We start from the raw sequence: 13,522 nt of genomic DNA, 5'->3' as shown, positions 1-13,522 counted from the left end.
TTTTCAATGTTAGGAACATTTTAACATTATTTATGGCTTGTCTAGGAGACTTTCTTTTAAAAAGAAAGAGAAAAGAATGCGACTGATTAATGAACAAAAATAGCTTATGCTTCACAAAGGTGACTGTTCTAGAATGTTGTGTTTCTTTCTAAACCCATGCCTGGGGGATATGGTTCCAAGATAGTCATGAAAATGGAGAACTGGATTCTATATCCCTATATTTCTACAGTCTTCTAGATATTTCTAGAGCCTCTTGTTAAGCCTCCATAATATCCTCAATTCTGTTTCCTGATGCTTTTCGCTACACACATTGCCCAGGTCTGCTCCTCTGCATTGGAGCTCATTGGGTGACAGAGGAGATTCGAGAAACTGACGTTTTTGAATGCTGGTTGTGCCAAAATAAGGCCAAATGTGCTTTTTAGTGGAGTAGTAAAGCTCTACATCTTTTGAGCTGGGTGATTTTGGACAAGTTACTTAACCTCTCTGTACCTGGTTTCCACATTATTAAAATGAAAGGATAATGATAGCTTCTTCATATAGCTGTCATGGAATTTAAACAAGATAATACAAATGCTTAGAGCAATGCCTCTGCAAAGCAGAAGTTAGTGCGATGAGCTTTTTTCTTTTTGTTTCACTCTTATAGTGCCAAGAAAGATTTTCTGAAGTGGCAACAATTAGCGTGAGCCCTGACTCTAGGATCCTCGTTTACTGTCCATGGTGCAATGTACTGATACCCAAATCTTGTATGCAATCAAACACAAGGCAGACAGATGCCAGCGAGGTGCCAGGGGATGGGGAGCCAGCCTGCTCTGCAACCCTCCCACACCCTCATCTCTTCCAAGTCAACACTTGCTAAAGGCATCATCACAACGTCAAGGTTTTTGCACTCACTTATATGAGCCAGGGCTCTCCAAGCTGCCTATTTAAAAAGGAGACATACTGGGATATAAAAAGCTTCAGAACATAAAATGTTAACTGCAGGGAAATGCCAAATGCTTGTATTCATAAGAGAATCACATAGAAACAAAAATACGAAAGCTCAGCTTTTGACCATGTTTCCAGGTCTTGGGACCGCACACTGGTATTATTAGCCAACAACACATTTTTCTGCTAAAGTGATCAACCAACACACCTCTGGGACTAAAAGCATGTAGTCTACTGGGTTCTGCAATTCAAGTCATTTTATTAATTCAGATTATGAGTACTAATCAGCTTTTAAAAAAATGTTGTTTTTCAAAGCAGAGTTTTAAAAAGTGTTAAATCTGGGCTATTATGAGGATGGTGATGAAGCACTCCTTAAAAATCTTTACTTATGCAAAACTATTGACAAAATTATAAAAGAAAAATTAAACAGAGGATGAGGCTTATGGGGCAGGGGACATAGGGCAACCAAGCAGGCTGCAGATGGGCACGATACCAGCAAGCAAAGAAGAGCCAGCTCACACACTTAAGGTACTTGGAGCCAGAAAATTGCTGCTGCACCCAGGGCCAGGACCTGGGACCCAGCTTGCTCTCCAGTTGGCATCCCTTGGTTTCAGATCTGTGATCTTAAAGCAGTAGCAAAGATTACCATAATTGCTGCTTATCCACTGAGATGAGTTTTCTTGTAACAAATGAGATATTATTTAAATTTATTTTAGCTGTTTTGTGGAAATTGCTTTGTAACTCCATGGTGTCATTATTGGTTCATATAGCAACACAATTGCTGTGTGTATTCTCTGTAAAGAAACTGTGAAGGAAATGGGTACGTGTGTCATGGGCTGTTAATAATAAATGAGGCAAAAGCAATTTACTTTGCACATATGCACATAATCATTTATATGCCCTTGCAGCAGGTGTGTGTGTGTGTGTGTGTCCTCTTGTAATTGTGCTTTTATACCAGAGATTTCTGCATGTGGCTCCTTTCAAACCTGATCCCCAGTACCTGTTTCAGCATAATGATGCAGTGGTTTTGCACAAAACATTTCTTTTCCTACAGGCCTCAGTTTTCTTATTTGTAAATTCAGAACTAGTTAGATCCTGAGGCCCTTTTGCACCCCTAAGCCTGTGTCGTGCAGGCTGTCCTGACTGCCCACTCAGCTGTGTGAATGCCGGGACTCTTTTCCACAGTCACCACAGGAAAGCTGCAGATTTGGAGCCTGCCTATAGTCACAAGGATTTCTTTATCCAGATCATAGCTTTAACACATTTTCTCTTAGCCATAGCTTCCTATCCCAGGTGGAAATTTCTGTACAAAATTTAAGAAATGCTTCCATAATTGAGGTTTTTTAGTAGAAGTGAAGGTGACTAGAGTCTAGATAATGGAACACAATGATTCAAAGCCATAAATGGCAGTTTTCAAGGCAGGACTTTACACCTTGCTCTTGGCTTCAGGTTTCTCACCTGGAAAAGGTGCAGACATGGCCTCCTAACATTAGACAGGCACCTGAACACTTTTACTCTGAAGGAAGATACAGTTTGGGGACCGGGACCACACATGCTTCTGTGACACATCAACAGAATTTCTGGCTTCAAGAACTCCTAGCTACAGACTGAAAAAGAGGCCTAAGCCCCAGCCTTCTGGTGTAACCGAGTCTGTTTTCCAACCAGCAGCTGTCCACCAACCTTCACATGTGAGTGCCAATGACCAGGCCCTCCTCCTGGAGCCTTTTAGGAGCTGTATGAAGAAACTGTGTTCACTCATTCCCCTCCTGATTTAGAGACCAACTGAAAAACACAGGGATTAGAGAACAAATCATTAGCTTAATTACTGAACAAAGCTGGCTTGGAAAATGTGGTGAAGATGGGCAGTCCCCATGGCCCTGGGGCTCAGGCCTGAATTAAGCAAGGTGTATGCATACACCAGGACACAACCTCCTGTGTTGCTTAGGGCAAGCAGACCTGAAGGTGTGGGATCAATGATTTCTTCCCAGAGCACTTGCCTGACACATAACTCCTGAGCCCAGCAGGAGAGGCTAGTAGAGTAGGCACGAGCTCTCCATGAGGAATCCTGAGTCCAGGAAAAAAGAATGAAGTGTCCTTGAGACCTCTCAGTGCCATACTGTTTCCTCAAGCCTACCTTATAGATTTCCTACATTCTGACCTGGCCGCTGCAGACCAGCCCTCCTGTGGTCCCGGAGAGGGGATTTGAGCCTCTGCATTAGTAGTTGCCTTGCTGTTTGTGTGAAGCATCAACTCAGATCCTCTGCATTTGGTGCACAAAGATTTCCAGAGAGATGTATCCTCCTCCTCTGTCTTATTTGTCATTCCGCCTTGACCACCATCTGCCTGGGATCCTCTGTGCACACCTCTTCTTTTGTGCATCTCTTTGCTTTGTGCATCGTGGCTCACCCTGGTGCTGTACATAGCACAAGATTGGTTTGCTTGAGCATTTTTTTTTTGAGACGGAGTCTCGCTCAGTTGCCCAGGCTGGAGTGCAGTGGCCCAATCTTGGCTCACTGAAACCTCTGCCCCCTGAGTTCAAGCAACTCTCCTGCCTCAGCCTCCCTGGTAGCTGGGGTTATAGGCACCCGCCACCACCATGCCTGGCTAATTTTTGTATTTTTTAGTAGAGTCAGGTGTTGCCCAGGGTGGTCTCGAACTCCTGACCTCAAGTGATCTGCCTGCCTTGGCCTCCCAAAGTGCTGGGATTATAGGTGTGAGCCACCATGCCTGGCTTGCTTGAGCAATTTTTAAAAAGGAATGGGTTAATTATCTTTAGATTTCATTTGATCTACTTACATTTTTGAGGTGAAAAGCATGTTTAGTCTTAGATCTGCCATTTTTATGGTATTTTTGTCTGAAAGCTTCCATTTTTGCATTTTGCTATTTGATCTCTGCTTGTTTTATGTATAGAGGATTGCCTATGTCTGATTTCTTTCAGAAAATTTGGAAGTCATCTATCTACTGAAAAAAAATCAAAATATTTTACAGCAACATATATTTCTTTGACTTATTTTGAGATAGCTGCCAGAGGGCCAGAAAACAGAAGTGGCTCTGCAAGGCTGTCTTTTGTGGGGGGAAATTTGCATCTCTAAATAAGCTGCATTAATACGGTTGGGCTTTCCCTTATCTGGATCTAGGAAAGACAAACTGAGTCTAACACCTTAAGTATCTGAAATAAACATTTACCTTCTATTCTCTCTGAGGGCTGCTATCTTGAGGCCTTATCGACATAACAAGACCACCTTTACCAGCTAAGCCTCCTTTTCTCCCCCTCCCACACCCTGTCATGCCACTAAAACCTGATTTACCACCATAACCTGCTTTTGGTTATGCTCTGAGCCTGCATTCTTTCTCCCGATTCAAGGTAGTATAAAAGCTTCTGAACCCCATTGACGGATTGGGTCTTCATTCTGAAGCCTCCTATGCAGACAACGTTAAATAAATTTGTATGCCTTTTCTCTATTAATCTATCGTTTTGAGTTAATTTTTCAGTGAAACTTCAGGGGTCTAAGAGCTCCACCCTGTTAAAGTGAAACAAGTATGGCTTGAGAAGGACTCTGGTACTTCTATATTTGAGTCCTTGTGGACGAACCATAACCTCACTTAATAAATAGAAAAGATTGAAAACCTAACTTACAAGTATGTCCTGTAACAATGGCAGAGTATTGACTAATCCCAGCAGCCATACTTCAACCACTCGTAGACTGCCGAGTGTTCAAACTGTGTTCGAATAAGACAAACACCAACCCGTAACCAATCCAGGTGTTTCTGTACGTCACTTTCCTTTTATTGTCTATAAATTTGTTCTGACCACGAGGCATTCCTGGAGTCTCTCTGAATCTGCTGTGATTCTGGAGGCTGCCCGATTCATGAATCTTTGTTTTTTTCTTGCTTAATTATACTTTGTTAAATTTAATTTGTCTGAAGTTTTCTTTTAACAGATCTGGCTTCAAAAGTGGGATTCGAAGTAAAACTTTGGCAACCCCCAGGAACACTAGGTGACCAGGCAAGGTACCTGTGGAGCCCATTGTGCTCACTACTCTCTTGATTGTAACTGGAGGACATGGGTGAGTTTTCTCTTGGATTCTGAGCTCCACTAACGTGTTTTGAGCTCTCTGAGTTTACTTGAGCAATATTTACATTGGACTGGGTTCAAGATAGAATTGGATTTGATAATTAACTGGATTGGATTCAGTTAGAGGCCTCGGACCTCGGTTAGGTACCTTATTTTTAAAATCGGTTCATCTCAGTCCAAGGAGTCTGGGACTCCACTTTCCGGGACTGTAGCTAATATCATGTATAAAAATTATGGGCCCAGAATGTGTGCATTTTTAGAAAAATGAGTTAATCTCACTAAAAAAAAGCTTAGAATTAAGATGGCCACAATGGGGAAGTTTTAATTTGGATAAAATTATTTGTTTGTGAGGCATGTTAGAAAAGGGGGATCAAAAACCCCAGAAACAGTGGGTCATATTCTTACATATTCATATTCATTGGTATGCAGAGGCCTCTAAAAGACTAAATGAATCAAAATTTGCCTCCTTAAAAGATTCTTTGCAAAAAAAACAAATGAAAAGCTTAAGCCACAGACTAAAGACATGACAAAACTACTCTGACTGAACTAACCCCAACTGTTCCTTCACTTTATCCGTCTCTACCTACATACTCTGAGTCCACTAACCGTCTAGTTAAATTACCTTTTTCACCCTGAAGATGATGGAAAAAAGGGAAGTTAGGCAGATGCCTTAAAAAGTGAGACCTTCTGATCAGCCAGGCCTGTCTGCTGTAACTACTTTCACTGCATGGTCTAAAACAGCTTAGAGCCATTGTGAAGGACTTCCCTGAGCCAAGGAAAATCCTCAAAAATTTACTAAGGAATTTAGAACCCTCCTAGGAGCTTACTATCTAGGACTTCCTGACGTTTACCTATTTATTCACATGATACTGGGGTTGGTGAAGCTTGGAAATGGATGGCAGCAGCAGAATGGGACGGACCTGAGGAGGATATTAAAGACCCCTCCAAAAACTCCTCAGGAGAAGGATCAAAAGCAGCTAGAAAAATTGCTGAAAACGTCTTAAATTCAATTTCTAAAATTTTTCCACAAAAAAATTGATTGCTCTATCATCCAATCTTGTAAACACAAAAAGGATGAACTAGTTTCATATTACAGAACTTGCTTAGAATCATCGTTTGTGAAACATTCTGGTCTCAAAGTACAGCAAGGAGTATTTCCTGTAGGGACTGAAATGGCATTAAGTGCTCTGTTTCTAAATGGACTTGGTCCTGGACTTAGCTGTTTAATTAAAAAACATAAGCTGGGATGAGAAGTTACAGATATGACTGAATTGGTGGCCTTGGCTGAACATTTTGAGAGGACTCTACAGCAAAAAAGAACTCAAAAGGCTAACATGCTTATAACCCTTCAATTATTATACAGCAGTTACAAAGGGACCAAAGGGACCTTCCCTTTCTCATTTTAAATCACAACCAAGAGGTCCTAAAACAAGAAATTCTTTACCCCAAGATGTCTGCCTTTATTGCAAACAGTCAGGACACTAGAAAAGGGATGTCCACTTTTCTATCAGTCCACCAATAAGCCTCCGTTTAGGCCAAACTGTTTAACCACAGAAGGAGCCCAAGACACCTTAGTCCTCCTGATAATAACAGGACAAGGCTCTGAGGGATTCTCCAGTAAATTGCTCCCTGTATTAGCTTTAAATGAACATGCAGAAACAGAAGTTAAAATAAATAGGGAGCCACGTACAGTCCTGGTGGATACCAGAGCTACTCTATCTACCATAAACCCTACTTTAATAGGCAAACAAATCCTGCAGAGTAAAAGGATCATTTCTGTGGTGGGGGTTTCAAATCAAGTTCAAGAGGTTCCCGTATCTGAACACATCCAATTATCTTAGAGGTTCTTTTCAGAAAAACACAGTTTTTTACTATGTGATACTGCTCCAGCAAACTTGTTAGGGTGATATTTACTTTCAAAGCTAAGAGGGCACATAAATTTTTTTCTCAGAGAGAGAAATAATCTTAGCACTTCTTGATTCCCCTGAACCAGAATTGTTATGCTGTCTACAGGCAGAAATTAATAAGACAAAAACTCAGGCCTGTAATACCCCTGATCTTTCCAAAATACCTAAATGTTTATGAGCCTCTTCCCCAACTAATATAGAAAGAATTAAAAGTGTGGAACCAATAAACGTCCAAATAGATTATTTTAATCCTTGGCCTAAATTATTCGAGTATCCACTAAAACCTGAAGCAATTCAAGGGCTCTCACCAATTGTAGAAAATTTAATTAAGCAAGGATTCAATCTCATGCACTAGCCCTTGTAGCACTCCAATCTTACCAGTTAAAAAACCAAATAAGTGAGGTTGGAGATTTGTTCAAGATGTACAGGCAATTAACAGAATTGTAATACCAAGATTTCCTGTAGTCTAAAATCCTAATACTTTATTCTCTAATGTACCCACTTATTACAAGTGGTTCAGAGTAATAGATCTCCGCTCAGGCTTCTTAGCATTCCAGTTCATAAAGAGAGTCAATACCTGTTTGCCTTTACTTGGAAAAATCAGAGGTATACCTGGACTGTAATGCCATAGGGGTTTATGGAAGCCTCTTCCTATTTTTCTCAGGCATTGCATCAGGACTGAATAACACAACAGTTTCCTCAAAATTCTACTCTCATTCAGTAAGTAGATGACTTATTGTTATGCTCTCCCACTGAGTGCTCTGAAATTGACTCAGTTTACCTTTTACAGCAACTCAAATATAAAAGTAACAAGGCTTCAACAGAAAAACTTAAGTTTTCAGAGGAAAAGTCTACTATTAGGGACATGACTTGACTGCTGAAGGAATTTTCCTCTTACCTGAGAGGATAAAAACTATCCAAAGTTTTTCTTGATCTGCAGCCAAAAGACAATTAAGAGGCTTTCTTGGACTTGCAGGATATTGCAGATCCTGGGTTCTGCAATATCACCGTTGTATGAACTCACTAAAAATGCTGTACCAGAGCCTTTACCTTGGGAAGATAGTCATGAGCAGGCTTTCAGCTAAATAAAGTTGGCCTTAGAACAGCCCCCAGCTTTAGGACTTCCAAATTACAATAAACCTTTCAGCTTGTTTGTTCATGAGCAAAAAAATCAGGCATTAGGAGTCCTTACTCAAGAACATGGTGATAAACATAGGCCCATTGCATACTATAGCCTGCAGTTAGACCCAGTCACTAAGGCATATCCTAATTGTTTAAAAGCAGTAGCAGCAGGGGCCAGGCTGGTAGAATCTTCATCAGATTTGGTTTTAGGAAATACACTGAATTTGCAAGTCCCCCAAGCTGTGTGGAAAGTCTACTAAATTCCAGTCAAACCCAGCAGTTTTCAGTAAGTAGACTAACATCTTATGAATTACTTCACCTGTCTCCTTCTAATCTAGATCTAAAATGCTGTAATCTACTTAACCCTGCTACTCTGTTACCTCTGTCTGATGATGGTAAAGACCACAGTTGTGTGAGTGTAGTGTCAGAAATAGTGGTCCCTCATGTTGATTTACAAGATACTCCACCAGATAATCCTAAATTGATACTTTTTGCTGATGGGCCCTGTGCTAAAACCTCAGAAGGAAAATATCAGGCAGAATATGCTGTTACCACCCAAAATTAGTAGAGAAGGGAACTCTCCCTCAACTTAAGTCAGCCCAACCTGTGGAAATTTTTGCCCTCACCTGAGCTTGTCATATAGCTAAGGACCAATCAGTAAATATTTATACAGATAGCAAACATGCTTTCAGAGTAGTACATTATTTTGGCATGATATGAAAACTACCAGGGTTTCTCACCTTTAGTGGAACCCCCATCAAAAATGGACTCCAAGTAGATGAACTCCTTCTGCTATTCTGTTACCATTACAGATTGCTGTTATTACAATTGAAGCTCATACTTGTAGAACTAAACCTAAATATCAGGGAAATGCTTTAGCAGATTTGTATGCTAAATCAGCTACTCACATTGTTAAGATATGCAGTCTGAATGAACTCCAGAAGGTTAATACAAGCCAACTTCTTTATGATGACTTATTTCAGAAACGGTGTAATGCCTTTGATTTGGAAAAAAAAATTGGTATCTAAAAAGATGTAAGTTTAATGTGAAGCACAGACTCACAGAGGGCCCAGGCAGCTGCCTGGTCCTCCCTGAGTCTTTGAAGCTTCCATTGTTGAAAGCTCTGTACTCCACAACTCATTGTGGAACAGATAAAATGGTCCAAATTATGAAAAAATACTGATTGGGTGATGGTTCCAAAATTGCTAAAATGGTTTATAACCAATGTTTTGCTTGTCAAACTCATAATCCTGGAAAAACAATCAAAACTTCAGGTGGTATATGTCTACCACCTGATGGATCAGTTGAACATTTACAGATGGACTTCATTCAGTTGTCACCTTCAAAGTGGTATCAGTATTGTCTTGCAATAGTTTGCATGTTTTCTAGTTGGATAGAAGCTTTCCCATGTAAGAAAGCTAATGCTGTGACAATAACTAAGAAATTATTAAAAAATGGTTTTCCTGGCTGGGCGTGGTGGTTCATGCCTGTAATCTCAGTACTTTGGGAGGCCCAGCCCGGCAGATCACCTGAGGTCAGGAGTTCAAGACCAGTCTGACCAACATGGTGAAATCCCGTCTCTACTAAAAATACAAAAAAAAAAAATTAGCTTAGCCTGGTGGCGGGCACCTGTAATCCCAGCTACTCAGGAGGCTGAGGCAGGAGAATAGCTTGAGCCCAGGAGGCAGAGGTTGCAGTGAGCCGAGATTGCATCATTGCACTCCAGCTGGGGCAACAAAGCGAGACTCTGTCTAAAAAAAAAGAAAATGCTTTTCCTTTATGGGAGATCCCTGGAAAAATTTCCAGTGATAGAGGAACTTATTTTAATGGGCAAGTTATAAAGCAGTTAAATAAGGTGTTACCAACACAGTGGCACTACCATTGTCCCTACCACCCGCAGTCTTCTGGAAAGGTTGAAAGAACAAATGACATATTAGAACCTATTGGCAAAGTTAACTGCATCAATTGGGTTGCCTTGGCCAAAGGTACTACCTTTGGCTTTAATGGCAATTAGATTCACTTTCATTGGAAAATATAAGTTGACCCCTTATGAAATAGTCACTGGAAGGCCTATGTCCCTAATAATAGCACCTCATGTTTCTCCTACTCTCTCATACTCTGATATGACTAAATACTGCAAGGCTTTAATGTATTATGCCAAAGTATACTTCCACCAGGTAAAGAAAGCTTTTCAAGATCCACCAACTGAGGATAATCAAACCTTCCATGATCTGGAACCTGGAGACTGAGTCTTCTGGAAATGACATCACAGGAAGACTACTCTCATTGGAAGGGACTATACCAAGTCCTTCTCATCACCTATACCACAGTGAAGCTTCAGGGCCTTGAATCTTGGGTCCATGTCTCACAACTCAAAAGGGCTCCTTTCAAACTCCTGGAACTGTACACCTGTTGGAGACTTTCAGGTAAAGCTGACCAGGGAAATCTCTCCCCAGAAGCAGACAGCATCCTAGCAGTGGACAGCTTTCCCAAGATCATGGATCAAGACTTTGCTACCACCATAAACCCTTACGTATTTTTCTGTTTTCCTCATGTTTTGTTGCCCTAATCCTTTCCTAGAGGAAAACCCATGGCTTTAGCTTGAGCTTATGCTGTAGAACAAAACCAGAGTAACTGTTGGGTTTGTGGGCTAATGCCAAAAAAATCAGGAAACTATTTCACTGATGCCTATCCCTCTTTGTGTTCCCAATGAGAGTCACCCTGAAACTCCAAGGAAAGAATGAAAAGCTTTTTTTTTTTTGGAGACAGAGTATTGCTCTGTCACCCAGGCTGGAATGCAACGGCACGATGTTGGCTCACTGCAACCTCTGCCTCCCAGGCTCAAGCAATTCTCGTACCTCAGCCTTACAAGTAGCTGTGACTATGGGCATGCACCACCATGCCCAGGTAATTTTCATATTTCTTGTAGACAGGGTTTTGCCATGTTGGCCAGGCTGGTCTCAAACTCCTGACCTCAATCAATCGGCCTGCCTCAGCCTCCCAAAGTGCTGGGATTATAGGCATGAGCCACCGCACCTGCCCTGAAAGCTATTCTTGATATTCTAAATATCACTGCTACTTGCTTTCCTACACCCACTAAAAACAACACTCTAACTTTTCCAGCTGAAAACTCAATCATTACCAAATATAAAAAGCCAATTCAAGTGATTCCTGCAAAAGGCATATTGTGCTTCCAGGCATCATGCACTCAAGATTTTGGAACTACCTGTGTTGGTACAAGTAATTGCTTGTATAATGTAACTGGATTAAATTCAGTATGGTCTTTTTTTACTAGATATGTTTATACACCCTTACAGCATGTTATGAAGAGGCCACAAAAAAGTAAATTTCTCACTGGACATTGTTCAGGAGCTATGCAGATTTATGGATGAACAAACCTGACTGACCACTGCTTAAATGCAACTAGTGGCCCTCTTCTCAACCCCTGAGGGTCTATATTCGGTCTGTGGAGAACATGTATATTCCATTCTGCCTCCTTGTTGGTTTGGATCTTATTATTTGGCTTGGATTGCTCCTGCCTTTTGAATAGCTTCCCCTGAAAATTCTCATGATAACTCTTACAATTGGAGGCCCAAATGATCAATAACTGAAATTAGCACTGGCCTTGAATGAGACAAAGATAAGCTAGTTTCCACTGAGGAAAGATTCTGGTGGGATTCCTGGGAGCTCACTCTTGGTGGTAGTGAGGTACCATTTGTATGGAATTTAAAGCTAACTCATAAATTGGGAAAATCATTGGATTCTGTAGCCAACCAGACCTCCCAGCGTTTCAGGCAGGTAGAAGCTACTCTCTAAAAGGTAGATGACAACACATATATTCAACAAAAACACTTAATGAAACATGATGCAGCTTTAGATCTTCTTTTTGCTCAAGCTGGAGACCTGTGTTTGGTGTTAAACAAAACTGAATGTTGTACTTACTTCTCCCCTTATTTTGTTACTATGGAAAGCCTAATTTAAAAGGTGGCTGATACTGCTGTTTCCTTAGACACTGCCACCAAATAGATTAAAGAAACCTCTCAAGAGAAAGGAACCCGTGATGTATTTACAGGACAACTAACGGTTGGTTTGCAGGCATCCTAAGTGGGGGTGACAAGCTTGGGCTTTCCAAGTGTCTCTAATCTTCATATTTCTCCTAGTAGGTTTCCAAGTCATACTAACTTGAATGAAATGAATACTTCTTTAAATCAGCCTATCTTATAGTGAACTATGGTCTTAATTGCTATCACACTCCAAATGAGGACTATGGCCAATTAGACCCTAATATTGTTGAACTGCCTATATTGTCTGAACTTGGTTACTTTGGTTCGGTTCATTTCATAAGAACTATTATTAAAGAGTATGCCTTGGCATTTTGATATTATCCTCTTGATAGTCATAATCATAGTCCCCCTGTACACTGTATCCTCTCAAGTCTTAAATGTTTTGTGGCCGGGTGCAGTGGCTCACGCCTGTAATCCTAGCACTTTGGGAAGCCAAGGCGGGCAGATCACCTGAGGTCAGGAGTTCCAGACCAGCCTGGCCAACATGGTGAAACCCCATCCCTACTAAAAATACAAAAATTAGCCAGACATGGTGGTGGGCACCTGTAATCCCAGCTACTCAGGGTGCTGAGGCAGGAGAATTGCTTGAACCCAGGAGGCGGAGGTTGCAGTGAGCCGAGATCACACCACTGCACTACAGCCTGGGTGACAGAGTGAGACTCCATCTCAAAAATAATAATAATAATAAAAGTTTTCTATGCAGGCTTCCATTGAAAGTTGAATGGTCTCACCCCAACTGGGTCAGCAAGTACATAAAGAATCATTCAGCTGGTACAAAATGTGACTTGTGAATTCCACATTGACACCAAAGAAGACCTGTGAAGCACCATACTAAAACTAAAGAAGACCTGTGAATTCTACACTGAGACCAAATAAGTCTTTATGATGGTGACAGAGAGTGGCATCGATGCCTAAAGTTTTGGCCAATCTCTCTAAATTGAGAGGGTGATCAAAAGGGAGGAATTGTTAAAGTGAACTAAATATGGCCTAAGAAGGACTCTGTACTTCTATATTTGAGTCCTTGTGGATGAACCATAATCTAATTGGATTGGTAGACAAGATTAAAAACCTAACTTAGGAGAATGCATCTGTAACAGTTGCTGAATCTTGGCCAATCCCAGCGGACATACTTCAACCAATTATACACTGTTGATTGTTCAGACTGTGTTCAAATAAGGCAAACGCCAACCTGTAACCAAGTCAGCTGTTTCTGTACCTCACTTCTAATTTCTGTATGTCACTTTCCCTTTTTATCTATAAATTTGCTCTAACCACGGGGCATCCCTGGAATCTCTCTGAATCTGTTGTGATTCTGGAGGCTTCCTGATTCATGAACCGTTTTTTTTTTCTTGCTCAATTAAACTCTGTTAAATTTAATTTGCCTAAAGTTTTCTTTTAACAGATCCTACACTACCTTTAGTCCTTCTCTT

At 40.9% G+C, this 13,522-nt stretch overlaps 1 annotated feature.

Annotated features, from left to right (window-relative positions):
• Positions 290–459: an enhancer, noted in NCBI's record as "experimental_109028 CRE fragment used in MPRA reporter constructs". NCBI's record gives its function as "activates a minimal promoter by MPRAs in K562 erythroleukemia cells, with activity observed for both the introgressed and non-introgressed 9:93447693 variant alleles {active_cell/tissue: K562}" and the evidence as "EXISTENCE:reporter gene assay evidence [ECO:0000049][PMID:34662402]".

The sequence above is a fragment of the Homo sapiens genome, chromosome 9 (assembly GCF_000001405.40).
Source record: "Homo sapiens chromosome 9, GRCh38.p14 Primary Assembly".
In the NCBI taxonomy this organism is placed as follows: Eukaryota; Metazoa; Chordata; class Mammalia; order Primates; family Hominidae; genus Homo; species Homo sapiens.
The sequence above is the reverse complement of the archived record's forward strand: the minus strand, read 5'-3'. Positions and strand labels throughout refer to the sequence as shown.